Genomic DNA, 24,216 nt, shown 5'->3' with positions numbered 1-24,216 from the left:
GAACTCAAGTAACTGGCCCAGAGCTTCATAGCTGCTAGTGGTGGGCCCTGGGCTGGAACCCAGACTTTCTGGCTCCAGAATCTGCATCTCTCCTTCCAACATCACCCTGCAGCTGGCAGTCTCATCCTAAACATTTAAGCAAATGGGCCCATGGTGGTGAAGTGACTTGTCCAAGATCATGCTACCAAGGTCATGTGGCAGAACTAACACTGGAATCTAGTCCTCTTGACATTGAACCCAATGCTCCTTCCAAATTGACCTTCAAAAATTAGAAATATCTTTCCCAGAATTGGGGTTAACATGGATTCTGGGGGGAATGCCATGTAAGCCTCACTCTACCTTCTGGGTTTCTGCAGCCGCAGCAGAACTTCCTCTAACGAAACCAGTCAGCAGCAGGAGCTCATAGTGGGTGAGGGACAGAGCTAAGAGTCCCTTTGGGTCTCAGTCCTAAGAGCCCTCAGACACACACCTGTACCTCTTTACCTCCTTTTATGGATGAAGAGCCTCAGGCCCAGAAGGGAAGGGTCACTCAGCACATTACAGGCAGAGCTGGGACTAGAACCTGGCCCACCTGCCTCCCTGTCCAGTACTCCTCTCTCTACAACCCCTTGCTCTGTGGCTTGGAGACCTCCAATTTGAGGAACACCAAAGAATCAGGGATGGTTTTACATGGTAGCCACAGTCATTCATGATTTTCACAGGGAAATCCAAGTGACCCCCATATCAGACTGGTTTGTACTCCAATCCCTGATGAACAAAATATCTATCAACATTTTAAATAAAGGCAGGAGCTGACGTGTCCAGGACTAGGGTAAGGCAAATGAGGCCAAGTGTGCAGTACAAAGTCAGACTCTGTCTTGATTTAAACTTGGATATTTTGTCCAACATGTTTTTTTAAAATTAATTTTAAAAAACACGCTGCATTAAAATAGTATCGATCTGAGTTACTGAGTGTTTTGGCACCCCTTTAAAATTCTGCCCCACAGGCCAGTGCCTCACTGCCCCACTCTAGAGTCCTGGCCCTGCCAACCCGAACCAAGCCCAGGACTTAGGTATTTTTGAAGACCCATCAAAACAGAGGGGGGATTGAGGGGATGTCTGAGCAAAGGAGAAAAAGTAGAAAAAGCAGAATTGAGCCCTAAAAGGACCAGCATGCCTATGAAGAGGACATGGAGTTGTGGGAAACAACATAGCCCAGAAAGTGCCCAGAAGCCTTTTGGGGGCCTGGCCACATGCCCACAACTGGAGAGCACGCAAAGAACCAGACACACCCCACACCTTTGAAAATCCTGTTAATGGTGAGAGGCTTGTCTCCGTGTAGGGAGCCCTTCCCTCCTTCCAGGCTGAAGCCCAGCCCTGCCGACATCTTCTCCAGTGTCACCGTGCAGACTGTGGCCTCTGCTGCTGAGAAAAACACAAGGTCTCTGTTAGGGATCCTCTCCTCTCCCAGGCCACAGATGCCCTGGGCTTCAAGTGAGCCCGGGGTGATACAGCCCCCGTGTTTGCACACAGGCACATGTAAACACGTCTCAGGCAGTGTACTAGGCAGCCACACATTCTTGGGGTCACAAATTACTGAGTAGCCCCATCAGGTCTGGCCCCAAATGGCCAAAGAGGATGTGGCCCATGTGGCTTCCACTGAGTTGGGAGAACTTACTAGATTCTACAGAAACATCACTGGCTGCAGAGGCTGAGGCTGCAGAGTCAGTGGAGGAGTTGAGGTCGGGCATGGCCTCTGGAGTCAGCTTCCTTGTGACAATCACAGCTTGCCTGGGCTCTCGAGCTTGGCGGAGGATGGCCAAGGCATCATGGTGCGTGGTCCCCTTGAGAGACTTGCCGTTGATGGAAAGAACCTCATTGCCCTTCTGAATAGTCCCTTCCTGGGAGGCCAGCCCATTTGGAAACACTCTGTGAACCTGAGCAAACCAAAGGAAGTCAGGACCAGAAATCACACAAGTCCAGTCCACATACTTGCTGGAGGAGGATTGAACCGGTTAGTCAATGCTAGAGGATTTTTAGGCCAACAAAGATTAAAGATAATTGTGTCCTAGATTGGAGCTGCTGGCACAGAGGCCAGCATTCCCTCCTTCTCCATCCAGAGCAGAGATCACCAGCAGTAATGACCAGGTAAGCCCTCAGAATCCATCCCAACACAACGTCCTATAGTGTACCACCACGATTCTAGTTGGGATTCCATATAAAATCTTTTGCTTCACCTGCCCTAGGTCAGAAGTCCCCAGAGTAGTTTTCTCAAGGCACTGATTCTATGGCATATTAACGGGTATTGTGTAAGAAAAAGGCTTTTCCTATTATTTTTTAAAAAATAGAGACAGGGTCTCCCAGTGTTGCCCAGGATGGTCTCAAACTCCTGGGCTCAAGCAATCCTCTCACCTTGGCCCCGCACAGTGTTGGAATTACAGGTATGAGCCACCACACCCGGCCAAGAAAAATTTTTTAAAATCAAAGAAACTTGAGGAATACTGGGTGAAACAAAAGCTCTGACATTGTCTACTTTTAAAAAGCAAAAGGCATTAGAGGGTCTACAATGCAAATTTGCATGGCAGCAGATTTCTAAGCAAAAGGCATTTAGAGGGTCTACAATGCAAATCTGCATGGCAGATTTCTAAGTATTGGCAGGGTATTATGGGGATTCCCAAAGTGTTTCAACAAAGAATTCTTTTCTCATAGAGAAATTCTCGGTCTCATTTGGCAGAATGCATTTTGAGAAACACTCTCCTAGGCAGTCTAGACATTTTTATAGCTCCTCCCCTAGAAATTCTGACTCTTTACCTCCAGTCACCTCTTGGTCCCCTTTCTGCAAGATATGTGGGATAAACAAACACACAAAAATATCTCATGTCTCTGCCTCAGCCTCTTTAATGAGGTCCATTATAATTAAGAGGACTGAGTGATAGCATGCATGGAAACCACTAAAATGTGGTACCTGTAGTTTTGCTTTTATGATAGGAGCAAAGCTCTTTGCTTCTCTAAATTGTTTTGGTGTTAGAAAAATTCTGTTACATGGTTAGAATCCCCAGGCTGTAACATCCAAGCATGAAGCAGAACCTCTCCTCTGAGCCTCAGGTTCCTCAATGCTAGAGGATTTTTAGGCCAACGAAGATTAAAGTTAATTAAAGGAGGAACCTCAGGTTCCTCCTCTATAAAAGAAGCATAAATGCCACCAATTTATCAATCCAAAGTGTGGGTAGGATGAATTTAGACAACAGGTCAGTGAGTGCTCAGCATGGCCGTGGATGGTGCTCTACGTTAGTTCCCTTTTAATCATCTGGAAAGGAAGAGAAATGCTCAAACACAGAAGGAGAAAGAAGCTTTTGTGCATGTGCTCAGCCAACATGTGCGCCTTCCTCCTAGTTTCCTGTTGTCTGCAGTGTCTCAAGGGTGACTGGCCAGATGACGTGGACAGAAGTTGCTACTCATGGACAGAGAAAAATACCCAAAGTGCCATTCCCACAGGCAAGCTCTCTTTCCTCCTCTTCAAGTAGAAAGTAAACTACACGGTCAGGAATCTTTTTGTAATACTCAGCTGCACTCAGTGAGAGAAATAGAGACTTACAGGTTTTAAGTGTTTTTTATGTGATAGAAAACTTATCAGGAAATCAAGGAAGTCACCACTGACATGATTGACTCTGAAGTGACACGCAGGAACATGCCAGATTGCCACTGCAAGGGGGTGTGGTATGTTGAATGCTGGCTGATGCTGTGAACTGGAGGATTTGTTTTCAGTTGGGCATGGAAATTCAAATGAGCCCAGCACAGCCTACACAAAGGATACCCTGAGACAACACAGCCCTGGGATGACAGCAATGCACTCGGCTTTAGAGAGCGAGCAGCCGCAGCATGGCTCCACAAAACTGGCAGAACCAGAAACCATCTGGGTCAGGTACAGGTGACCTGAAGGCAGCAGCCAATGCTGATCAGATTGGATGAGCCAGAATAGTGGGACCCACAGGAAAAGATGCCCATGGCCAGGCCTGCTACCCTCTCCACGCAGCCCCAGGCTCTGGGATGTGCTGAGTGGACAGGACCTGCCCAGTGGCCTAGTGTCATGCATTCTTCATTTCCCCAGCACAGGGCCCCTTCCTGGCAAGTGTGTCCCCCTCCCCCAGAACCATTGCCTCTGGCTGTGACATGCCCCTTCACTTGGCCACTCACCGTAATCACCTTGTTTTCTAGATCTGCTCCTCCTGCCAAGCTGAACCCAAGACCAGCACCTTCCTCCTTGTGTAAGATGGTGACATGGATGCCGTCTAATTGCTGCAGAGGAAATACATACATTCAAAAACATTTTACTGCAAGAGGATGAACAATTTAACATCGGACTGACATCAGACTGATTTGTTATCTCAAACCCCAGCTTGGCCAGCCTCCAAGTTACATCACCTCCTCAAACCTCAGTTTCCTCATCTGTAAAGAATGGACCTTCAGGAGTCATGGGAAGCTTAGAAGAAAAAAAAAATGTATGTAAAGCAGCAAGCATAATTATTTTCCTCTCTCATTCACCCTGTCCACAGCCGGGCAGGGGGAGTGCCATGAAGTCAGCCAGAAATCAGCATATTGGACAGTGTGAGATGAAGTCAGGTTGTAGGACTTCAGGTAAAACAAAACAAAAAAAAAAAACAACAAAAAACAAAACAGGGGTCAGTGCTGTTCTGCAGGAATTGGTTGCTCCTTCTTCCCTTCTACTTCTCCATGGGTCACAGCAGCAGCACTAAGGAAGCCCAGCTAACATCCTGCCCCAATGCACAGTGTGCAAGTGTGACACACACACACACACACACACACACACATTACTACGGTACTTCCTAGCCTAGACGGGGACTCCCATGGAGCCAGGACACAGTCAGAGACTCCTATTCCAGTCTAGAGCAGGGGTCTCAAACTCAGATGCCTATAGGAGTCAGGCAGGTCCCTAAAATGAGCCAAATGGGCAGATGTGTGATAGGAACTGCAGAGCGCCAACGAGTACATCTGCTCAAAGGGTCAGCTCTACGTAGGCATACAGAACTAGCGCTACCAGATCACTTCCCTAAAGTCCAGGTTTCAATTCAGGTTTTATCATGTATAGAATTCAATATTTTTTTCATCACCATGCAGACCAAATAAAGTACACCTACAGGTTCTTGGGGCACCTGTTTGTACCTTGGCACTAAGGAGTAAACTTATGTCAAAGAATTCACTTGCTCAGCGTCACTAGAGCACCTGACTTGCAGCTGTCCCTATGATCCTAAGACTTGGAGCCCCTAAGACCCAAAGGCATGGAAGGATGAATGTACCTCACTGCACCCTCACCTCCAAGCCCCAACACTAGCCCAACTCTCTCAACTTTTACCCAAGTATCAGGTTACTTGCCTTGTAGAAGGCTCTTCTCATGTTAGAAAGCAAATACTCTCCCCAGAGCAGCTCAGGCAGGATGGCTCTTTGTGTTTTACACGCTCTGCCTCTGTTATTTCATTTGCACTGAGTAAGATCCTGGGGGATGATGGTCCCAGGTGACAAGTGAAAGCCACAGCGAAAGAATCTCAGCACAGCAGCACCTTGGGCTCATCAGACTCACCTACACTCTTGATGTGGAAATTGCAGCTATGAGGCCTCCTTGTATGGAAAACGAGAACCTCCTTATCCTCTCATCCTAGCCTGGATCATTCTAGTGCCAAAAGCCTACGGAGGCCTGGGGCAGCACCTAGAGGGTGCAGGACCCATGAGCCTGAGCTCATTTGACTGCTGGCCCCAGCTCAGCCTGGCCACTTCCTCCCCACACCCCTTTGGGTCATGCTCAGAAAACATATGGGAAGTGAGACTTTCAGAATGACTTGACTGAAGCGTGGGGGACTTGTGAGCCCTGGGATCAGCCACCTCTCCATGCACAGTGGAAATAATGAAAGCTCCAGGTGAGAGCTCTTGTAACCCACATTGTTTACAATGGACAGCATCCCACAACAGACACATGCCAGGACAGCAGCACATGGAATGTGGAAACAGCACTGAACTTGAACTTGGAGACAGAAAACCCAGGTTCTGTAACCTTGATTGAGCCTTACCTTTCTCATTTATAAAATGACAAAAGAAGATGCAAGAAGTCAATCTACTGAAAGTGGTTCACAAGCTAAAAGGCTCTCTTCAAATGGAAGGTCTTACTGTGGTCAAGTGCTACAGTGTCCCACCATCACAGGACGCAACCTGGGTCTGATGTGAGCAGGCTACTCAAGCTACTTCCCCTCTGGCCCAACTAAGGTGGCCACACAGCCATAATAAGCCATTGGTTACTGCAGATGCTTACAAAGGAAACCTACCTTTAATGTTGCTTCATCCAGAACCTTCACCTCCTCGATGAGTTTTTTTAATTCTTCTGAGCTCAGCAGGGAGATAACGGACTGACCAGACTGAAGGGAACTGTGGTCCCCATCATCGTCTTCCTTGGCTTCCGTGAGACCCTCTGTATATTCTCTCAGCTCTGAAAGGCTTTCATAAGGAGAAACAACACACAGTATGAACAACAATATTAAAAAGAGGTAACAGTGATTGTATAATTACTATGTCCCAGGTGTGGTGCCAAGCACTTATGTGCATATTATTTGATGCAACAAATCTATGAGTAGATACTAGCATACCTTCACTCTACAGATATTTCCCAGCAGTGTAAGAATAATAAATAAAACTAATAAATGCAGAGCTACTTTGATCAGAGGGAAGACCAAGCCCCAGCCCTACAGCAGGGACCCTATGGCACGTCTGACATCCTCTTGGTTCTGCATAGAAGGTCTCATCCATCTCCTAATTTCAACTGACAAGGAATCTGAGGGTGAGCATGGAAAGAACCTGCTCATAGTCAGAATCAGTGCCTAAGCTGAGACTAGGACCCAGACATCCTAACTCCCTGACGAGGGAGTTGAACCCACGTGCAGAGTACAAGTGGATTCCATTTGGAGAGTAAGAATTCCTGATGGATAATTTCCTGGCCTCATTCTGGTCTTTCTGAGTAACCGCAGGACATTTCAGATGTGCATCAACCTTCCAAATCTCCACAGGCGTATGTCAGCCCTCATGAGCAATTCACCAGGGAGCCAGTCCCACCTCCTACCTCCCAGCCCTCCTGAAGCCAGATGTTGTGAAAACTCCTCCTTAATGTGAAAGGCAGAGGTGTAATACCTACAGACAGACACACACACACTCAGACATCTGCACACACATGGAAAGAAAGAGGCAGAACAATTCTTTAATCAATATATCTGGGAATTTTTTAAATTATATATAGGATTATTTTTAAAAATAAAGATGAGAAAGAAAAAGATGAGAAAGGTAAAGAGAAACACCGGGTGTAGAAACTCACTTGAGCGAGAACCCTGTGTCCAAGGCAGATGTTTCAGCAGAACCATTTGCAGCTGAGTCTTCGTTGGATGATGATGTTGGAGATGCCCCTTCCTTGGGGATGCAGGGAGTCTGGGCACAGGAGATAGAAGATGGAAGGCACAGCAAGGATTTCATGACAGCCGATGACACTTGGCTGCTGATAGAATAGAGTTTGCTGGTCTTTTCGTCAAGTAGCTTCGTCTCACAGGACTGGGACCTGGTCAGGGGGAAGCTCCGTGCTCGCTGGCTAGGCATCTTGAGCACTGGGCCTTGAGATTCCTCAGCCTGTGTTGACAGCAGCCTTAGGAGCGGGTCCGGGCCAGGGGGGAGAGTTTTCTGATTGGGCTGCCGCCCTGGGGGAGGGGACTCAGACACACCTGGGTCTCTGGCCTCGGAGGCTGCAGGGGACCCCGAGGACAGTACTTGCTCAGGCTGCTGGGGCACAAGAGTGGGTGCAGCCCCTCGCCCCAAGAGTCCAGAAAACCGTCCTTCCTCATGCTTCCCAAGAGGTTTTGCTGCCTCCCCAGAGGAGGGCTGGAGGCTCAGTCTCTGGGCTCCTTTGTCAGGCAGTTGAGAGGAGCCAAAGGTTTCAAAGGAGCTGATTCTCTGCCTGATGGAGGAGGAGGAGGAGGAGGCCCGGATGTGTGATCCTAGGTGCTCCCTGGAAGCAGGTGCTGGCTGGGTGGACAAGGCAGGATCAGGGAGCCCTCTTGGGTCTGAAGCACGATTCCTCAAACCTTTCAAGCTTTGGCGAAACCAGGCTGGCTTGGGAGCCACAGGAGGACCTTTCTTCACAGTGCTGCTGTCTGCTGACTTGTAAACTTTGGGAGTGCCATTGGCGGTGTCCAGCTTTGGTGGGGTCCCATCTGGGTGGCCCTGTGTCCCTTCTTCTTCATTCAGGCTGGCATTGGGCTGTAGAGGCATGTGGCCATGGTTCTCACTCATGATGGGGCTAAATAAGTTTTTGATGCAGTCAGAAATCCTAACCCAAGGGTCTTCGGCTGTGGTATCAAAGCTATAGTCCATCCGAGCCTGCCTCTTAAGCAGTGGGTGTTTTATCGGGGATGTTTGGGTCACTACAGTGCAGAAACAAGGCCAAAGCTGTGCATTACATCATACAGTGACTTTTCTTCCTAAATTCTAGTTTCCAAGCTGAACAGCAAGAAGGATTCAAGAGGAGGAGATTAGCAGAAGTGGGGGACACCCAGGTGGGTGAACTCCAGGTGCTATTACCTGACTGAGCTGCCAACAGGCAGGAGTGAAGGACCAGAAGTAGGAGTTAATCTCACAGTATCCTAGTGTTTTAGGCCTGGAAGGGTGCTCAGAGAATATCTGGGCCGACCTCTGGCATATTACATTTCAAGAAGGGTAAGGGGCCATCTGATGGCAGTGCTCAGGCAAGACCCTGTGTCTCCTGACTCTTGAAGTTCATGTCCTTTCTACTGCACTAAGGAGCCTCCAAGATACCATGTTAAATGTGTAAAAGCCAAAGCAGTTCTCCTGCCGTTTAAACTTTTAAGACAAAGGTCATGAGTTGGCAGCTGTTTGTGCTTTGACCTACCCGTGTCATTAAAAACAAGGTGCCTGTGCACAGCTTCTGATGGGGCCACTTCGGCTTCCCACAGCTCTTCACGCTCCCTCTCACCCAGCCAGCATTTCCCATGTATGTACCTGCCTGGCCCTGAAGCCGTGTGTTTGCTGCTCTGCCTATACACAGGTCATTGATCAGCTTGCTCTCGGCAAAGGAGTGTTTTCCCTCCCTCAAAAGCTGATGAAAAGGTTCCAGGTAGAAAGGAATCTGTGAAGTAGGATTCTCCACCTTGGCTACATACTGGAATCTGGAGGGCCCTGAAAAATACTGACGCCCACCCCTAGGTACTGACTGAAGATACCTGGGATGCAGCCTGGGTGTTGGGAATGTGATGAGCAGGGGATTGCAATGTGCAACCTGCTCTGTGCCAGCCAGGACCTCAGGCATGCCCTGGAGCACATAGGAGTCTTTCTCAGAAGCCAGCATTGAACCAGCATCATATCTGCATGGGTAAGGGAGAGGGTGTCCTGGCTCTCTTTCCCAGGGGCAGAGGGAGGCTGGCCTGTGTGCCTTGGGGGATGCTTGCTACTGGAACGCAACCCAGTTGAAGGAACTCTGATCCCTCCTGTCCCTTGTCTCAATGCCAGGTTTCAAAAGAAGTGAATCATGGAGCATTACACCTTGATGATATCAAAGAGAAATTCTGCACAATCTAAGAGACTGGCCTTGGGCAAGTGAGCCCAGGCCTCCAGCCTGTTTCTGCATTTTTGAATGGCTTGGCTGTAAGGTGCTGTTGTGAGAATCAGGAGGCAGAGGTTCCACAGGCAAGCCCTTTGCAGATTGGAGTGACAACCTCCTGTCAGTTAAACACTGAGGCGTTTGCTTTTGCTAGAATGTTCCTCAATTAGGGTGACTAAGGGAGAGGAGCCTCCACCCACAGGGCCTCTGCTCTGGGTGAGATGTGCTAGATCTTTCCAAAATGTCCCTTAGCCCTCCAAAAGTCTTTCATGAGCTTTTCTGTAGTGTTACTCAAACAGTCATATGTTTTATAGTCTATATGTTTATTTCCTGCCACTACTAGTTGCTCCTTGGAGGCAGGACCTGACTACCTGGTCTCATCCCTTTCTCTCTCTCCCCCCAGCATCTAGCACAGGGCCTCACGAAGCCAGCATTCAATGTGTGCTTGCTGAATGCATCATATGCTTGGGGTCTACGTGCTCTTCCACACATTGCTGATGAGTGAATCTGGGCTCAGAAAGGCAAAGTAGGTTGCTCAGAATCATACTAATGACAGACAGATCCAGGATTCCCTGACTTCAAGTCCTATGCTCTCTCTAGCAAGCAAATAAATATTCAAGTCATGTCTTAGCATTGTCAGGTGTACCATGTGGACACACCCTTGCTATCCACCTCATGGAGGAGGTGACCACTGGTAGATGCTATTTATACTTTTCTGGCGTTGCATTCTCTGACTCAGAAATCCTGAATGCAGCAGGACTGTTGCAACTGGAATGTTGGCACCCTAGAGGTAGCTGCCCAGGATGGCTGGGTGGGTGTGTCTTTGGACCTCTTCCAAGGGCTCCATCCTCCCAATTATCCAGAATGGCCTGCATTCCTGCTGCCACCCCCACAGCATCACCCGTCCACCCAGGAGGCTCCCCACCCTGGACAGCACCTCCACGGTGCTGCTGCCCAGCACCTGGAACCCTTGACTGTTGATCAGCCAGGTCCAGTGGTGATGTCAATGCAGAGCACTCTGATCCTCAGGCCAATTTGTGCTCTTATCTTATCCCTGCACCTTTTTTCAAAAGACCCTTCCTTTTGGAAGATCTCAATGAAAGCTTACCTGGGCTGGCTCTTCTCCACCCTGGCTCGCCCTCTGTGGAGGACTTGGTCTGTGGGCCGATACCAGGTCCTGGGCAGCCGGCAGAGGCACTAGGGCTTCTCCCTGCTGTGTCTTCCTGTGGTAGCAGCAGTGGCAGCAGCTCTCTCGCTTCCTGTGGTGTAAACAGGAAGCGAGACCATGTCAAAACGGTAGCCTCAAGCTGTGAGAAGGCGAGACACGCTTTGATTGGGACGGAAAAACGGATATTGAGCTGCTTTCAGTGAGAAGTTCATCAGCAGCCATGTAAAGAGGATTCTTTTCTCCTTGGTGCTGACGTGGCAGAGCCAGCACCTCCTAGACATGCAGAGCATCCCTTGACTTCCAGCAACCTGGTATCCAGGTCATGGGCTCATACTGTTGACATACTTGAAGACCCTGACTCTTTATGATAGGAACAAAAGGCTTTGAGTGTGGAGGGACTGGCATTGCTTCAGTTACAACTGCATCTGGTGAACTACCCACCCCGGGAGGGTATAGGGCAGCGTAGAAACAAGGCAGCAAAAAAACCTGGCAGCTAGTGTTCCCTAAGGTTAGAGCACTCAGGAAAATGCTTGTCAATTGCTGTCACTTGTTAAGCACTCTTCAAATATTTAGTAAGTGTTCTGCAAAAGATGACAGATACTCAGCACCTGTGCCATTGCTCCCCTCTGTGGCACCTAGGGTGACATCCTCAATCTGTTGCAGAATTGTTTCCACCACTGAGCCTGGATGCAGCCTTGGGGTCCTCCCAAAACAGCCTAGGGACAAGATGAACCAGGCTCTGAATAGCTATGCAATACTTGAAGAGTTTGGATTATCACACAGTGTGCTTAAGGTACTGTCAGGGCCCAGAGGAAACAGAGAGACCAGTTCCATCCCAGAGGTGGAGAAGGCTTCCTAGAGAAGTACTTTCTGTCTGCTTCATAAACAGAGTAAGAATTTTGCAGGCAGAGAGGCAGAAAAATAGTGTTCCAGAGACATAGCCCAACCAAACATAATACCCATCTGGAAAAAAAGATTGAGAAAGCAGACATCATCAAAATGATGCCACCTGTATTTGATTGTCTGCAAGAGAAATGCTTTGCTATACTGCGGTGGCCTCCACGTCCGGTTCATTCCAGATTTGTGTAATGATGGGCCATTTGACATGGCTGCAGGCTTCCTTCCAGAGAGGAAGGAAAGAGGAAGGAACAAATGCATCCTTTGGGACTAAAAAAGCAATGGCAAATATCCATGACCTGAAATTTAAGATCTACATTGACAATAAACATTTTGGAGGAAGCAAAGGTCTACAAAAGTTAGAAGTGTATTCACAGAGCATTGCCTCAGCTCGAGTTCCCTACTGTAGAACTGAGCTTTAGGAGAGCATTATGAAATACTGAGAGATCAACCAATTTCAAAGGAATCATTGAGCTTCTCGAACTAGCCCTTAAAAAAAGTAAGGCTGAGTCATGGCATTAGAAGCTCCAAATATTGGCCTGATGATCTCTAAGTCTCTTGTCCACAAGAGAAATTACATGGGGATGAAATTTAATTTCACCTGGTTGGGAGCTCTGTAAGTTGACATCTGTTGACATTCATGAATTGTTAGCTCTTTTACAGGCAGCCACATGTGATACCAACTGCAGTCAATGCAGCTTTACAACTTAGAACAGCACAAATGTGTTTTGTCTTTTCATCAACACATCCAATATTGCATCCTCTTCATGGGAGACTTCAGAATTAGCCCCTGAAATAAATTTGATTTTACACAAATTTTTCTCTTACTAGTGTTTCCTGGAACCATGCTTGGTGGATGAGGGAGGGAGAAGAGAAAGAAGGAAAGAGGGAGAGAGCAGATTCAGCATAGTGGGGAGAAAGTACGTTTTTGTTTGGTTTTTTTGTTTGTTTTCTAAGAAAGGATTCTTCGAAAATCCTGTTGTGTTTTTTTAAGCAAGTTTTTTAAAGCACGGGGGAGAGTTTAGGCTGATTTTTTATAAGAGGGATGTTAGTTTTTTGTTGAAGAAAATATCCCAAAGTTCATATTGGTTGTGAGAGTTAAGTCCCCTTGAATTAGAGTAGATGGGAAAGACTTGGGGGTCATCCATAGCAGCTTGACAACAGTCTTGGGACCCTGTAGAGAAAAGACTGCAGGGAGGGAAAAGTGGGAGAGTGAGACAGTGGACACTGTGGCCACGGAAGAAAACATCCAGTGAGAAATCCCCAGGAATGGTCAAGGAAATTTTGAGAGTGACCTCAAGCAAATTGCTTCCTGTTTTCTATTGCGTGCTATGATCCTTTCTCTGTGACCCCCGCCTCTCCAGTGCCCAATAAAATTATGTCGTGCTGATTGCTTTTATGGAAATGTTTGTGGGAGAAGGATCTGCTGGCCACGTGGGACAGACCAGAGCAAACAGAGGAGGGCAGCTGCAGAACGGCCTTGTCTCCAGGAGACGGTGCTGTTGGGGGCAGGTACAGGAGGGAGCCCTGTATTCTGCTGAGGCACACAGGGCATGAAAGATGACCTGTGGGAAGTTCCTTGCCTGGGCTTCCCTGAGGACACCCCAGTTCCTTCTCCAGACGCCTTACTCGGGAATATTCCCTGACCCTATGTGGCTCTGCCAAGGGCATCACTGGGACAGACCTGCTGTGGCAACTGCACTCCTTTTCTGGGCCTCCAGGAGGAAGGCAAAATGACTGGCTTCTCAGCTGGCTGCTCCTGATTTGCCCTTCTGGACTCATAGGTCTCAGGCCCAAGGGAAAATGAAATATGGGCTTAAAAGAGGGGGTGGGAGAACAGATCCATCTGATAACTCCATCATGTGTTGCTAACCAGCCACATCCTGCCAGCGCTCTGCAAAACTGCACTTCCTTTTTAGTAACCTGGCTTCCTCCTCCCTCCTTCACTTTCACCCCTCCTACTCAACATCCCGTCTCCACCGCTACCCCTCCTGAAGCTTGCCAACCCTCACTGTAGATTGTTTTAGGGGATTTCCAGAGGCCCCCTCCCACCTGCCCACGGTGTGCTTAAGGGAAGGGCCAGGGCCCCTGCAGGGCCATTCCGTGATGGGGGAGACAGCTTCTGGGTAAGGATGGGAAACTCAGCATTGCATAGTGGGTAACTGTGACCCACTAGCAATGTGAACTTGAGCGAGTTTCTCAGTTCCCTCTTTGCACAACTGGGACTCTCACCATCAGGTGGTTGTAAGATTTAATTGACACAATGTACATGAAAGTACTCAGTGTGGTTAGCCTGCGCATAAAATGGTTCTAGACACAGCAGCTGTCTGTCAGTCAGTCTGCCTTTTATGCAAGGGGTGGAAAGGAGGGCTTTAAGGGGCCTGATGGGGAAAGATCATGGCAATGAATGCTAATATGCCTGAGATGCTGTCAGGTACTTGCCTTAAGTGGTTACCTTTAATCCTCACAATAGCCCTTGGAAGGAGCCACTCCTCCCGGGTTTAAGCAATTCCCTGCCTCAGCCTCCTGCGTAGCTGGGATTACAGGCACCTGCCACCATACCCGGCTAATTTTTGTATTGTTAGTAGAGACAGGGTTTCACCATCTTGGCCAGGCTGGTCTTGAACTCCTGAGCTCATGATCCACCCGGCTCAGCCTCCCAAAGTGCTGGGATTACAGGCATGAGCCACCGTGCCAGGCCCCTTTTTAGTTATTTAAGCCACTATTCTCCCTACAAGCAGGACACTCAAAGATCCACATGCAAAGACTGAGACCCTGCAGGGGCCCTGGTATTTTTCCTTCATGGTGAGTGAAAAATGACACAAGAAAGGAACCTTAAATTCCAGTGTGTTATGGGTGGGAACCCAGATGCCAGCAAGCAGGACTGGGACTTCAATTATCTGTCAACCTTCAAACCCATCTTTTCATGGTCAGTCCTCAGCTGAGTCCTAGGCAACAGTTTCTCTCTGGTGGAGCAGGAGAAACTTTCATTCTGGCCCTGCTAACACTAACTTGCTAATTTGCCCATGCTCAAGATTTGAGTCTGGTCCTGGAAACACTCAACCTGTGGACCCATCCTCTTACCTGGCCACAGGTGGGTGGGGTGTGCCCAGAAGAGCATGAGGAGTTCTCTCTCTCTTCCAGACTCTTCTGAGGGTCACTGTCACTTTTAAAGTATTTTCTGGGTGGAGGCTTGGGCTTGGAGGACATAGGCTTTCTCACCAAAATCTCAAAGGATTTCTTCAGTCTCAGCGGCGGGTGGCTGTCCCGGCTCTCTGGGAGGGGTGGGCTCTCCTGGGGCAGCCTGGAGGATGCTATAGAAAGCACCACTGGCTCCCGTGCCAGAGGCAAGCTGGGGCTGTGTGTGCTGATGTCCACGTCAGAGGACGGCTTCTCAGCACTGCCACTCCCAGGACTTCCCCCTGGGGACCCAGACATGTAGCTGCTGTCACTGCTGGAGCGGATCATGACCTTCTGAGCCCTGCGATGCGGGGGTGCTGAGTTCTTCTCTCGTTCCTTCTCCAAGGTGGGCCGCCCGTGCCAACTGCTTTCCAGCCTTTTGACACCTGTGTGGGAAGCACAAGAGAATCTTCACAGCTGAGCTTCAGAAAACAGAAATACCCCCTGGCCTCACCTGTGACTGCCACGGGCAGCACACTGCACATCGGCCATCTGCTTCTTATCTGAAGTCACTGTGGATCTGGAGTATGGCAGTCTTGGTGTTGGTCCCTGGCGAGCTGTATGACTTTGGGTTGGGAAAATCATTCAAGCTTTCTGAGCCTATGACTGATGTATATGGAGATATGCCACCCAGATCACCCATCGAGGAAGGGCTTGGTGTCCCAGCTGTGGGGAGTGCTGCTGGCAGACTACTTTCAGCTGTGGGTCCCTCCAGGGGCTGCCACAGCTGCAGACAGCTGCCTTGTCCAATGGGGCAGCCCATCTCCAGGGACTGCTGGAGATAGGGTTACAGAGGCCCAGCTATGTTGGCCAACATAGGACAACTCTAATGGGGACTTTGGCTGCAGAGCTCCAGGGCTTGGCTGAAGCTGTTGGGTGTGCACCTCAGCTCCGTCCTCCCTCTGTCTACCCTGCCTGCTCCCCTCCCTGCCACAGGTAGTGAACCCCAGGACACTGCCTGCAGACCAAACTCCATCTCAGAGTCAGCTTCCTGGGGGACCCAACTCCATTTCTGCATCTGTAAAATGAGGATGATAATTTTAAAGTCACTGGGGTTATTTTGAGGCTCAATAACAAAGACAGAGAAACTACCTGTCAAGGCACTTTGAATCTTACACGAAGAAGTCACTATTTCTTTCCAGTTGAGGGTGAGGTGAGGGCAGAAAGCCGCTATTTCTTAGCCACTGCACCTTCCTCCCTCCCTCCCCATTAGCCCTTCCTGGTTCTCAGTACCCCCTACCCTAGTTTCCAGCACTAGGGCTACCCACACATCCTTGAGAGGCCCTTCTCTCTAGTGGTAAGCTGTCAAGGGTGCCCCTTTCCTAAAATCACAGCTTGAAGGGGTGGGAGAGGATTGAAATCTAGTCTCTTGCTCAAATTCCAGCTCATTCTGAGAGACCAAGAAAGCCAGAGGAGCCCCATGAGAGAGAACCAAGGCCAGCCAAGCTCCTAACTCACTTTCTCTTTAAATAAAAAGTTTTCTTTTTTTTTTTCCTGATCATGAAATAATGCATCCTCCTTAGAGAAAACTCAGCCACAAGGAGGAAGGAATGAAAGTAAAAATTCACTTCACCTGTGTTCCTATCAGCCAGAAATAACTACTGTCAAAATTTTGGTGAGTTTCTCTGTCATGCTTTCCCGAGCATATATGCATGTTGGGTGGGTAGAAATAATAAACCAGAGCTGAAATAAATTGTGTTCTGTTCTTTTCTCTGAACATTTCCCCAGATCATTTAATTTCTTGTCAATATCAGTGCCAATGGTTGCATGTTGTTCTTTCATAAGGATGTTCCATGGTAGACGTGATTAATGCCCAATGGCTAGGCATGGGAGTCAAGCCAGCTGGATCTCCATTCCAGAGCCTCTGTGCTCTAGTGGTATGACTTTGAGTAAGAGAGTCTCTGAGGGCCTCACTTTTTCTTATAAAATTTGCATAAAAATTATGTGTGAATGCATGAATTAGCATAGTCTCTGATTTATTATAAGAATTATAAGAATTAAATAAATGTCAGAATTATATTCCCAAATGTTAGTTTTTCTAATATTCTATTATTATAAACTAGGGGCTGCAAACTCAAGTGCCTGCAGGGGCTATTGTGTGAATGGCAACTTGGTACAGGATAAAGGGAACGGTGGAGACCACCGGGAGCTGGAGAGAGCCTGGCACATTTGTAGCAATTTAAATTCAGATGCTTTTAAAATCTTGTGTCTTCCAAACAAAGCAAAAATATAAGCTAAATTTAGCTGGTGGGCTGCTAGTTTTCAGCCTTTGTCTACATACTATGCTGGTCTATGGTAAATGCTGTTACTATTCCTTGGATAGAGGATGAGTTAATGGATAAATCCTAAGCTTTCTAAGAAGGCAAAGATATTTTACATCAAAGTTCACCATTTGTCTTACCTTCCAGACTCCACTGATGCCTCTCCTTTCCAAACTTGGTGTTTTCCACAGCCTGGGCCACAGCTTCTTTGAGTTGCTGTTCAGAGACCTAGAAAATATCAGTCATCTCCTCAAACAAACAGTAGAAGCTCCTGCATCAGGCTCCCAGCCCCGTACCAGCTCCAAAGCTGGGCCACTGGATTCTAAATTATTTTATTTCAACCCACTCTGCAAATAGCTGATGAATTCCATTTCCAGAAATACCCCGGGAATCAATGGTTCCTCAGTATCTTCTAGATAAAGTCCAAAGTCTATCAATGCAGGGGTTCCCAAGGAGGCCCCCTCAACTCTCCAACCTTCTCCCCACTACTTGCTGGAAAATTCTAGGCAAAGTTACCACTTCATAGGTTATCTCTATGAGCTAGTCCGTTCTTGGCAATGCTGTCATGACATCATCATTATCAACAATATCGTAATAATCACAATCACTATTATACTGTCTGAGCTGTGACTCACAGTTTATTATCACTTTGGAGTAATAGTTAAGAGTATGAGTCCTAGAGTCAAAAAGGCTTGTGTTCTAGTCCCGGTTCCTCTACTGTCTAGGTGTGAACACCTAGACAAGTTACTTAACCTCCTGAGCCTCCATTTCTTCCTTCTGTAAAATAATAACAATAATAAAACCCACTTCAAAATGAGGACAGGTTTTTTAAAAATAAATTATTTGACATCAAAAGTACAGGAAACAAAAAAATAGATAAATTGGACTATGTGAAAATCAAAAACTTCTGTGCATCAAAAGGACATCATCAACAGATTGAAAAGGCAACTCATAGAATTGGAGAAAATATTCGCAAATCATATTTCAGATAAATAGTTGAGTTGCAGATTATATAAAGAACTCCTACAACTCAGCAACAACAACAACAACAAAACAACCTGATTAAAAACTGGGCACAGAACCTGAATAGACATTTCTTCAAAGAAGATATACAAACAGCCAAAAAGCAAATGAAAAAATGCTCAACATCACTAATGATTAGGTAAATGCAAATCACAACCACACTGAGTTACCACCTCACACACATTAGGACATTAGGATGGCTACTATAAACAAAAAGAAAAGAGGCTGGGCATGGTAGCTCATGCTTCTAATCCCAGCACTCTGGGAGGCTGAGGCAGGCAGATCACTTGAGGTCAGGAGTTCGAGACCAGGCTGACCAACATGGTGAAAGCCCATCGCTACTAAAAATACAAAAATTAGCCTGTGCAGTGGTACACACCTATAATCCCTGCTACTAGGGAGGCTGAGGTGGGAGAATCACTTGAACCCAGTGCAGTGAGCCAAGATCGTGCCACTGCGCTCGAGCCTGGGTGACAGAGTGAGACTCAGTCTCAAAAAAAGAAAAGAAAATAACAAAGTATTGGCAAGGATATGGAGAAATCGGGACCCTTGGGCTCTGTTGATAAGAATGTAAAATGGTGTAGCCACTGTGGAAAATAGTTTGAAGGCTCCTCAAAAACTTAAAAATAGAATTACCATATGACCCAGCAATTCCACTTCTGGGTATATACCCTAAAAGAAGGGAAGTCAGTATCTCAGAGGAATCTGTACTCCACGTTCATTGTAGCATTATTCACAATAGTCAAAAGGTGGAAACAACCCAAGTACCCAAAAACAGATGATAAACAGCATGTGATACACACACACGCACACACACACACACACACATACACATACTAGAAGATTATTCGACCTTAAAAAGGAAGGAAATTCTGGCCCGTGCTACAACATAAATGAACCTTGAGGACATTACGCGAAGTCAAATAAGGCAGACACAAAAGGACCCATTTTATATGATTCCACTTCGATGAACGTAGAGTAGTCAAAATCACAGAGACAGAAAGTAAAATGGTGGTTCCCAGGATTTGCTGGTAGGAGAACATAGGGACTTGTTTAACTGGTAGAGTTTAAATTCTGAAAGATGGAAAGAGTTCTGGAGACGGATGGTGGCAATGGTTGCACAACAATGAGAATGTCCTTAATGCCACTGAACTGTACACTTAAAAAATGGTTAAGATGGTAAATTTTATGTTATGTGTATTTTACCACAATAAACAACAATAAATAAATCATTTAAAGTCTGCGGCACAATGCCTGGCAGATGGTAAACTCTTACTAGAGGAGAGTTACCATCCACAACAGTCCTGTAAGGTAAAGACCACTCCCCTATGTCAGAGTTGAGGAACCAGAGGCTCTTGGAGGTTAGATGAGTTGCCCAAATTAACCATAAGCAAGCAGCAGACTGGACACATGCCAGGCATTCTGCTGCTGGGCCTGGCTCTCTTCTCTCTGCCCTATGCCTGTGCCCCTGGATCTCCACGGCCTAGGGTGTCTTCGTCTTTCTGCTGCTCTAAACCTTACCTGTCCTTTCTGGCCTGGCTCCCTTATCTGAGCAGCTGGAACTCCAGCTCCCTCACTCTCAAGGCCCTCACCTCTGTGGCCTCTCTGTGTGTGTCCCATGTCTCTGGGAGAATGCACATTCCTTAAGCCCAGGGCTACAGCATTTGCCCACAACCTGACGCCCTACTCCACTGATTTTCTGCCGTAGTCCTAAAAGCAGCAGGAGGAAATGACAAATTAATTGGGACCTCTTTCTTTTCTTGTATTGTCCAGAGATTTAGGCCAATTATTTGTTTGCCTTAATTAAGAAGTTTGCTTGTCTCTGATTGTGTTTAGCTCCAGTGTGCAATCCACAGAATGGGGCTGGGTTTGAATTCCACCACACCATTATATATTGATTTCCCTCATTACTCCACTCTGTCCAAGTGTCACTGGGAGTTTGGGAGTCAGTGAGTTCAAAGCACAGGCTTTGCTGGATTTAAATCTTAGCTTCTTTACTTAGTAGCTTCACCATTGGGAAACTTATTTGTCCTTTCTAAGCCTCAGTTTCCTCATCTGTGAGTTGGGGGGGAAATATCACACTGATTTCAGGAGGCTGCACAACAACTAAATGCAGTTGTGTGGGTCACATCTTTGAAAAACATGCCTGGTGCATATTAAGATTAAATAATTCTTTGTGGTGATTATTCCAGGTTCCCCAGAGCTCTCACCAACAGCAGGGATTCAACCCCCAAGTCTAGCTCCAGCCTGGGTTCCTGTTATAGTTGCTATCAGCCCTAAGTCTAACTTGCCTACTGGGCATCTTTACCTGGACACCCCGTGGTACCTCCACCTCACTATGTCCCACAGTAAGATCATGCTCTTCTCTCCCTCCCAAGCCTGCTACCTTTTCCTCTTCTCTCTTCTGGTGGAAGACCATTGCTCAGTCTTCCAATCTAAAAATATTCGAGATATCTTCGGTTCCTCCCTCTCTTACCCCAGAGCCACTTGCCCAGCAGCTCTTGTTGAGTCTTCCCAAGCATTGCCTCATGTTGCCTGATATGGTTTGTCTGTGTCCCTACCCAAATCTTATCTTGAGTTTTAGCTCCCATAATTCCCACATGTTGTGGGAGGGACCTGGTGGGAGATAATTGAGTCATAGGGGCAGTTTCCCCCATTCTGTTCTCATGATAGTGAATAAGTCTCACAAGATCTGACGATTTTATAAGGGGTTTCCCCTTTCACTTGGCTCTTATTCTCTCTTGTCTGCCATCATGTAAGACATGCCTTTCACCTTCTGCTGTGATTGTGAGGCCTCCCCAGCCACATGGAACTGTAAGTCTATTAAATCTCTTTTTCTTTATAAACTACCCAGTCTCAGGTATGTGTCTATCAACAGCGGGAGAACAGACTAATACATTGCCCCTTCTCTTTTCTCTTCTCATGGCTGCTGTGTAGTTCAGGCTCTCACCATCAGCTTCCTTCCTCTTACAAACCCCACACTCCACCCACTCTATCCTGTCTTCTACAGTGCAATCAAAGGTTTAAAAATTAAAATATGAACATGCTCCTTCTACAGCTACAGACCTCCCATAGCTCCTCACTATGTAGAATAAAATGCAAACTCTTTAGTATCCTGTTGAAAGCCCTCTGCAGTGTAACCCCAATGCCCTGCCAACATCTGTTCTCAGTCACTCTTACCTAGTACCCTACATTCCAGCCCCACAGAACCCACTCCTCTCCTTCCATGTCAGGTCCCTTTTTGACTCTGTGACATTGAATTTTGTGTTCCCACCTCCTGGAATGATCTTCCTTATATTCTCTGCCTGGAGAAAACTAACCTCTGGTATTTTTTTACTTTATCAACCATTCCCTGCTATATTCCTGTATTCTCATAGGACTTACCATCTCTGTTTTGCAATTATTTGTATGTCAGGCTCTTTATTGATACTGTGAGCTTCTGCAGGGCAGGACTGTGTGCTATGAACTTGCCTCTGTATCTTCAGTACCTACCTCCAGACATTCCCACAGTGGGTACCTACTAGACGCATAAATGAATAAATTTCTTGGTCTACTAGCTGGGACCCTGGGTCTCTACTTTCCTGCCCCAGAGCTTATAACTCAGCTGTAAGAGCTTCCCTAAGTTAATGTCAATTGCCTCTGATATCTAGGAGTTTGTTAGTGGACCTCTGCTGCAGACAATTCTTACTACAGAAACTTGGAAGGGATTCTTGGGAATTCAGGTACAAACCCAGCCAGCAACATCTCTGTTTTCATCTATTTCTTGTTCCAATTTTGGTACTGAACGAGTGAGCCTGAGAAGAAGAGGATAACCCAGTGGGTGTTACCTGTGGGTCTGGATGTCGGCTAACAATGATGGGGACTGGACCGGGATCACAGTGACTCAGGATCGTGTAGACTTCATTGAGCGTCAGGCAGTGCACAGGGGAATCACTGATTTCCACAATCTCGTCCCCACACCTGTGCAAGCATCAATAAGAAGCCATCAGTAAGTGAATCAATGAGACATTTGAACAGTCACTGCCCCAGGGGCCCACTCCTGGCTGGGCTGTTTGATGAGATATAAAAATCACATGAATAAGTAGACCCCACTAGCCACCAGACCAAAACTCAGAACAGGGCAGACCAAAGTAGCATATCCCATACCCCCTTACCGTACAACCACAAAGCAGCAGACATTTCCTATTTACAGTGGGTCAACATTAACAAAAGTTCATCTGTAACTTTCCTCCTTCTTTTCACATTTAACTATGCCCATTAAAGACTGAGGGTGTGGGTTAGCCAATTCAACTAAATAACAATTAACCAGGATTTAATCCACCACATCCTCTCCTTGGGCCTCTGTGTTCCCATAAGTAGACTAGTTAGAAGGAAGGATTGGATCTAACATAGCACACACAGGATGTTGAATATCGGACCTAACATCCTACATGTGCTAAAAGGCAGAGAAAAAATAACTCAACAGGAGAGCAGTTGAGATTCTTGCAAAAAGAAATAAGGAGAAAAGGTGATGGCATTCATTCTAGTTGTGAGGTGGGAAGGGAGTTAATAGCAACCTAAACCTTAAAAAAAAAAAAGGTAGGAAACACGGGGTCACATAGATACATGGAAGATTTGTATAATCCAGTCCCCTTCCCGACCTAGATAGGGAAATTGAGTTGCAGAGGTTGAATAGATTTCCCTGATCTAGGTCTGCTCAGGAATTGACAAACTTTTTCTGCAAAGGGCCAGAGAGTAAATATTTTTGGTGTTGCATGCTTTGCCATACTGTCTTTATCGAAACTATTCAACTCTGCTGTTATATTAATAGCATGACAGCTGTGGCCATAGACGAGGCATAAACAAATGAGCATGGCTTTGTTCCAATATAATTTTATTAAAACAACAACAACAACAAAACCAAAACAGTGATAGGCCCCAGTTTGCAGACCCCTGGCCTAGTTGGTCATCAGCAGGTCCAGGATTGGAACTCTAGCCTCCTGAGGCTGATTTCCCTGTGTCCCCTGCTGTGTTCTGTGACTTCCTTCTGCTGAGTTCATCCTCCTTCACCCTTGCTTCCTTTTTACTGCTGTAACTGAAGGCCATGGTTGTATAGCACCAGATGCTAAGGAAAGCAGAAGCTTCCAGAACAATCCCTACTCCACTGCAGATCTAAGAAGGAGGTACTCTCTGTCCGAGGGTACTAGGACCAAGACAACCACATGGAACCTGCAGTATGTGCCACAAACCAGCAGAGCAGCTCAGCAAATCACCTGCCACCCTCCCGCAGATAACAGCAAATCCCTTTCTAATTCAGAAGCTCCAGAGAGACAGCATCATAAGCAGGGATGGCTTTTCCATACACTGCAATTGTAGGAAACCCTTTAAAAGGATGGCAAAACTCTCCTGATTTAGGAAAACCCAAAACCAGTGAGAGATGATATATTTGCACTATACACAAATGTTAGAGTGCAAAGTATTGTAACAAATTAAATAGGATAAATTTTTAAATCAAATCCAGATCAGTTATTGAAAGAAATTAGATTTGAACTTCTCTTAGAAATTATTTATAAAAAATATATCTGGAGTACCCAGAAATATATTGTTTATGGGAGAAAGAACCTGTATTTCTCTTACTGATATCTTCTCTCTCTCTTTTTTTTTTTTTTTTTTTCTGAGACAGGGTCTTGCTCTGTTGCCCAGGCTGAAGTGCAATGGTGCGATCTTGGCTTACTGCAACCTCTGCCTCCCTGGCTCAAGTGAGCCTCCTGCCTCAGCCTCCCAAGTAACTGGGATTACAGGAAGGTGCCACCACACTTGGCTAATTTTTATGTTTAGTAGAGATGGGTTTTGCCATGTTGCCCAGGCTGGTCTTGAACTCCTGAGCTCAGGCCATTCACTCGCCTCAGCCTCCCAAAGCGCTGGGATTATAGGTGTGAACCATGGTGCCCAACTTACTAATATTTTTGTCATTAAGCCACCATTTCCATATAGAATTCATAGATTAACCTCATCAAAGCTCCTATTTATGTCATTGTAAATTCAATATTAGTTAAATCTTAATTAAAGTG

At 46.7% G+C, this 24,216-nt stretch overlaps 1 protein-coding gene across 19 annotated transcripts in view, besides 12 other annotated features; it reads right to left on the bottom strand.

Annotated features, from left to right (window-relative positions):
• The window catches only part of IL16 (interleukin 16), a 131,347-nt gene that overhangs the window by 6,235 nt on the left and 100,896 nt on the right, over positions 1–24,216 (bottom strand). For 6 of the 19 annotated variants that reach the window (XM_047432447.1, NM_001438661.1, XM_047432451.1 and 3 more), the window contains 9 exons: positions 21,994–22,126; positions 17,284–17,371; positions 14,787–15,268; positions 10,746–10,896; positions 7,349–8,444; positions 6,312–6,480; positions 4,174–4,275; positions 1,658–1,916; positions 1,279–1,404 (listed from right to left, as the gene is read on the bottom strand). In XM_047432447.1, coding sequence (XP_047288403.1) covers positions 1,279–1,404; positions 1,658–1,916; positions 4,174–4,275; positions 6,312–6,480; positions 7,349–8,444; positions 10,746–10,896; positions 14,787–15,268; positions 17,284–17,371; positions 21,994–22,126 — 2,606 coding nt within the window. Of the gene's footprint in view, positions 1–1,278; positions 1,405–1,657; positions 1,917–4,173; positions 4,276–6,311; positions 6,481–7,348; positions 8,521–10,745; positions 12,807–14,786; positions 15,269–17,283; positions 17,372–21,993; positions 22,127–24,216 lie in introns of those variants that run through there. The other 13 variants (XM_047432448.1, XM_047432450.1, XM_047432452.1 and 10 more) reach the window with 8 other exon arrangements.
• Positions 3,388–4,587: an enhancer, noted in NCBI's record as "CDK7 strongly-dependent group 2 enhancer chr15:81595578-81596777 (GRCh37/hg19 assembly coordinates)". NCBI's record gives its function as "activates an origin of replication core promoter dependent on BRD2, BRD4, P300/CBP, MED14 and CDK7 cofactors, with strong dependence on CDK7, by STARR-seq in HCT116 cells {active_cell/tissue: HCT116}" and the evidence as "EXISTENCE:reporter gene assay evidence [ECO:0000049][PMID:35650434]".
• Positions 3,473–4,003: an enhancer, noted in NCBI's record as "H3K4me1 hESC enhancer chr15:81596162-81596692 (GRCh37/hg19 assembly coordinates)". NCBI's record gives its function as "activates a minimal SCP1, AML or CMV promoter by ChIP-STARR-seq in primed H9 embryonic stem cells {active_cell/tissue: H9 hESC(primed)}" and the evidence as "EXISTENCE:reporter gene assay evidence [ECO:0000049][PMID:30033119]".
• Positions 5,929–6,018: an enhancer, noted in NCBI's record as "active region_9956". NCBI's record gives its function as "activates an Ori minimal core promoter by ATAC-STARR-seq in GM12878 lymphoblastoid cells {active_cell/tissue: GM12878}" and the evidence as "EXISTENCE:reporter gene assay evidence [ECO:0000049][PMID:35858748]".
• Positions 9,084–9,133: an enhancer, noted in NCBI's record as "active region_9955". NCBI's record gives its function as "activates an Ori minimal core promoter by ATAC-STARR-seq in GM12878 lymphoblastoid cells {active_cell/tissue: GM12878}" and the evidence as "EXISTENCE:reporter gene assay evidence [ECO:0000049][PMID:35858748]".
• Positions 9,307–9,356: an enhancer, noted in NCBI's record as "active region_9954". NCBI's record gives its function as "activates an Ori minimal core promoter by ATAC-STARR-seq in GM12878 lymphoblastoid cells {active_cell/tissue: GM12878}" and the evidence as "EXISTENCE:reporter gene assay evidence [ECO:0000049][PMID:35858748]".
• Positions 10,062–10,626: an enhancer, noted in NCBI's record as "H3K4me1 hESC enhancer chr15:81589539-81590103 (GRCh37/hg19 assembly coordinates)". NCBI's record gives its function as "activates a minimal SCP1, AML or CMV promoter by ChIP-STARR-seq in naive H9 embryonic stem cells {active_cell/tissue: H9 hESC(naive)}" and the evidence as "EXISTENCE:reporter gene assay evidence [ECO:0000049][PMID:30033119]".
• Positions 10,627–11,193: an enhancer, noted in NCBI's record as "H3K4me1 hESC enhancer chr15:81588972-81589538 (GRCh37/hg19 assembly coordinates)". NCBI's record gives its function as "activates a minimal SCP1, AML or CMV promoter by ChIP-STARR-seq in naive H9 embryonic stem cells {active_cell/tissue: H9 hESC(naive)}" and the evidence as "EXISTENCE:reporter gene assay evidence [ECO:0000049][PMID:30033119]".
• Positions 13,493–13,552: an enhancer, noted in NCBI's record as "active region_9953". NCBI's record gives its function as "activates an Ori minimal core promoter by ATAC-STARR-seq in GM12878 lymphoblastoid cells {active_cell/tissue: GM12878}" and the evidence as "EXISTENCE:reporter gene assay evidence [ECO:0000049][PMID:35858748]".
• Positions 13,583–13,672: an enhancer, noted in NCBI's record as "active region_9952". NCBI's record gives its function as "activates an Ori minimal core promoter by ATAC-STARR-seq in GM12878 lymphoblastoid cells {active_cell/tissue: GM12878}" and the evidence as "EXISTENCE:reporter gene assay evidence [ECO:0000049][PMID:35858748]".
• Positions 13,852–14,370: an enhancer, noted in NCBI's record as "NANOG hESC enhancer chr15:81585795-81586313 (GRCh37/hg19 assembly coordinates)". NCBI's record gives its function as "activates a minimal SCP1, AML or CMV promoter by ChIP-STARR-seq in naive H9 embryonic stem cells {active_cell/tissue: H9 hESC(naive)}" and the evidence as "EXISTENCE:reporter gene assay evidence [ECO:0000049][PMID:30033119]".
• Positions 15,183–15,312: an enhancer, noted in NCBI's record as "active region_9951". NCBI's record gives its function as "activates an Ori minimal core promoter by ATAC-STARR-seq in GM12878 lymphoblastoid cells {active_cell/tissue: GM12878}" and the evidence as "EXISTENCE:reporter gene assay evidence [ECO:0000049][PMID:35858748]".
• Positions 20,967–21,046: an enhancer, noted in NCBI's record as "active region_9950". NCBI's record gives its function as "activates an Ori minimal core promoter by ATAC-STARR-seq in GM12878 lymphoblastoid cells {active_cell/tissue: GM12878}" and the evidence as "EXISTENCE:reporter gene assay evidence [ECO:0000049][PMID:35858748]".

This window comes from Homo sapiens, chromosome 15 (assembly GCF_000001405.40).
Source record: "Homo sapiens chromosome 15, GRCh38.p14 Primary Assembly".
Lineage (NCBI taxonomy): Eukaryota > Metazoa > Chordata > Mammalia > Primates > Hominidae > Homo > Homo sapiens.
This window is presented reverse-complemented; position numbering and strand designations above follow the sequence as displayed.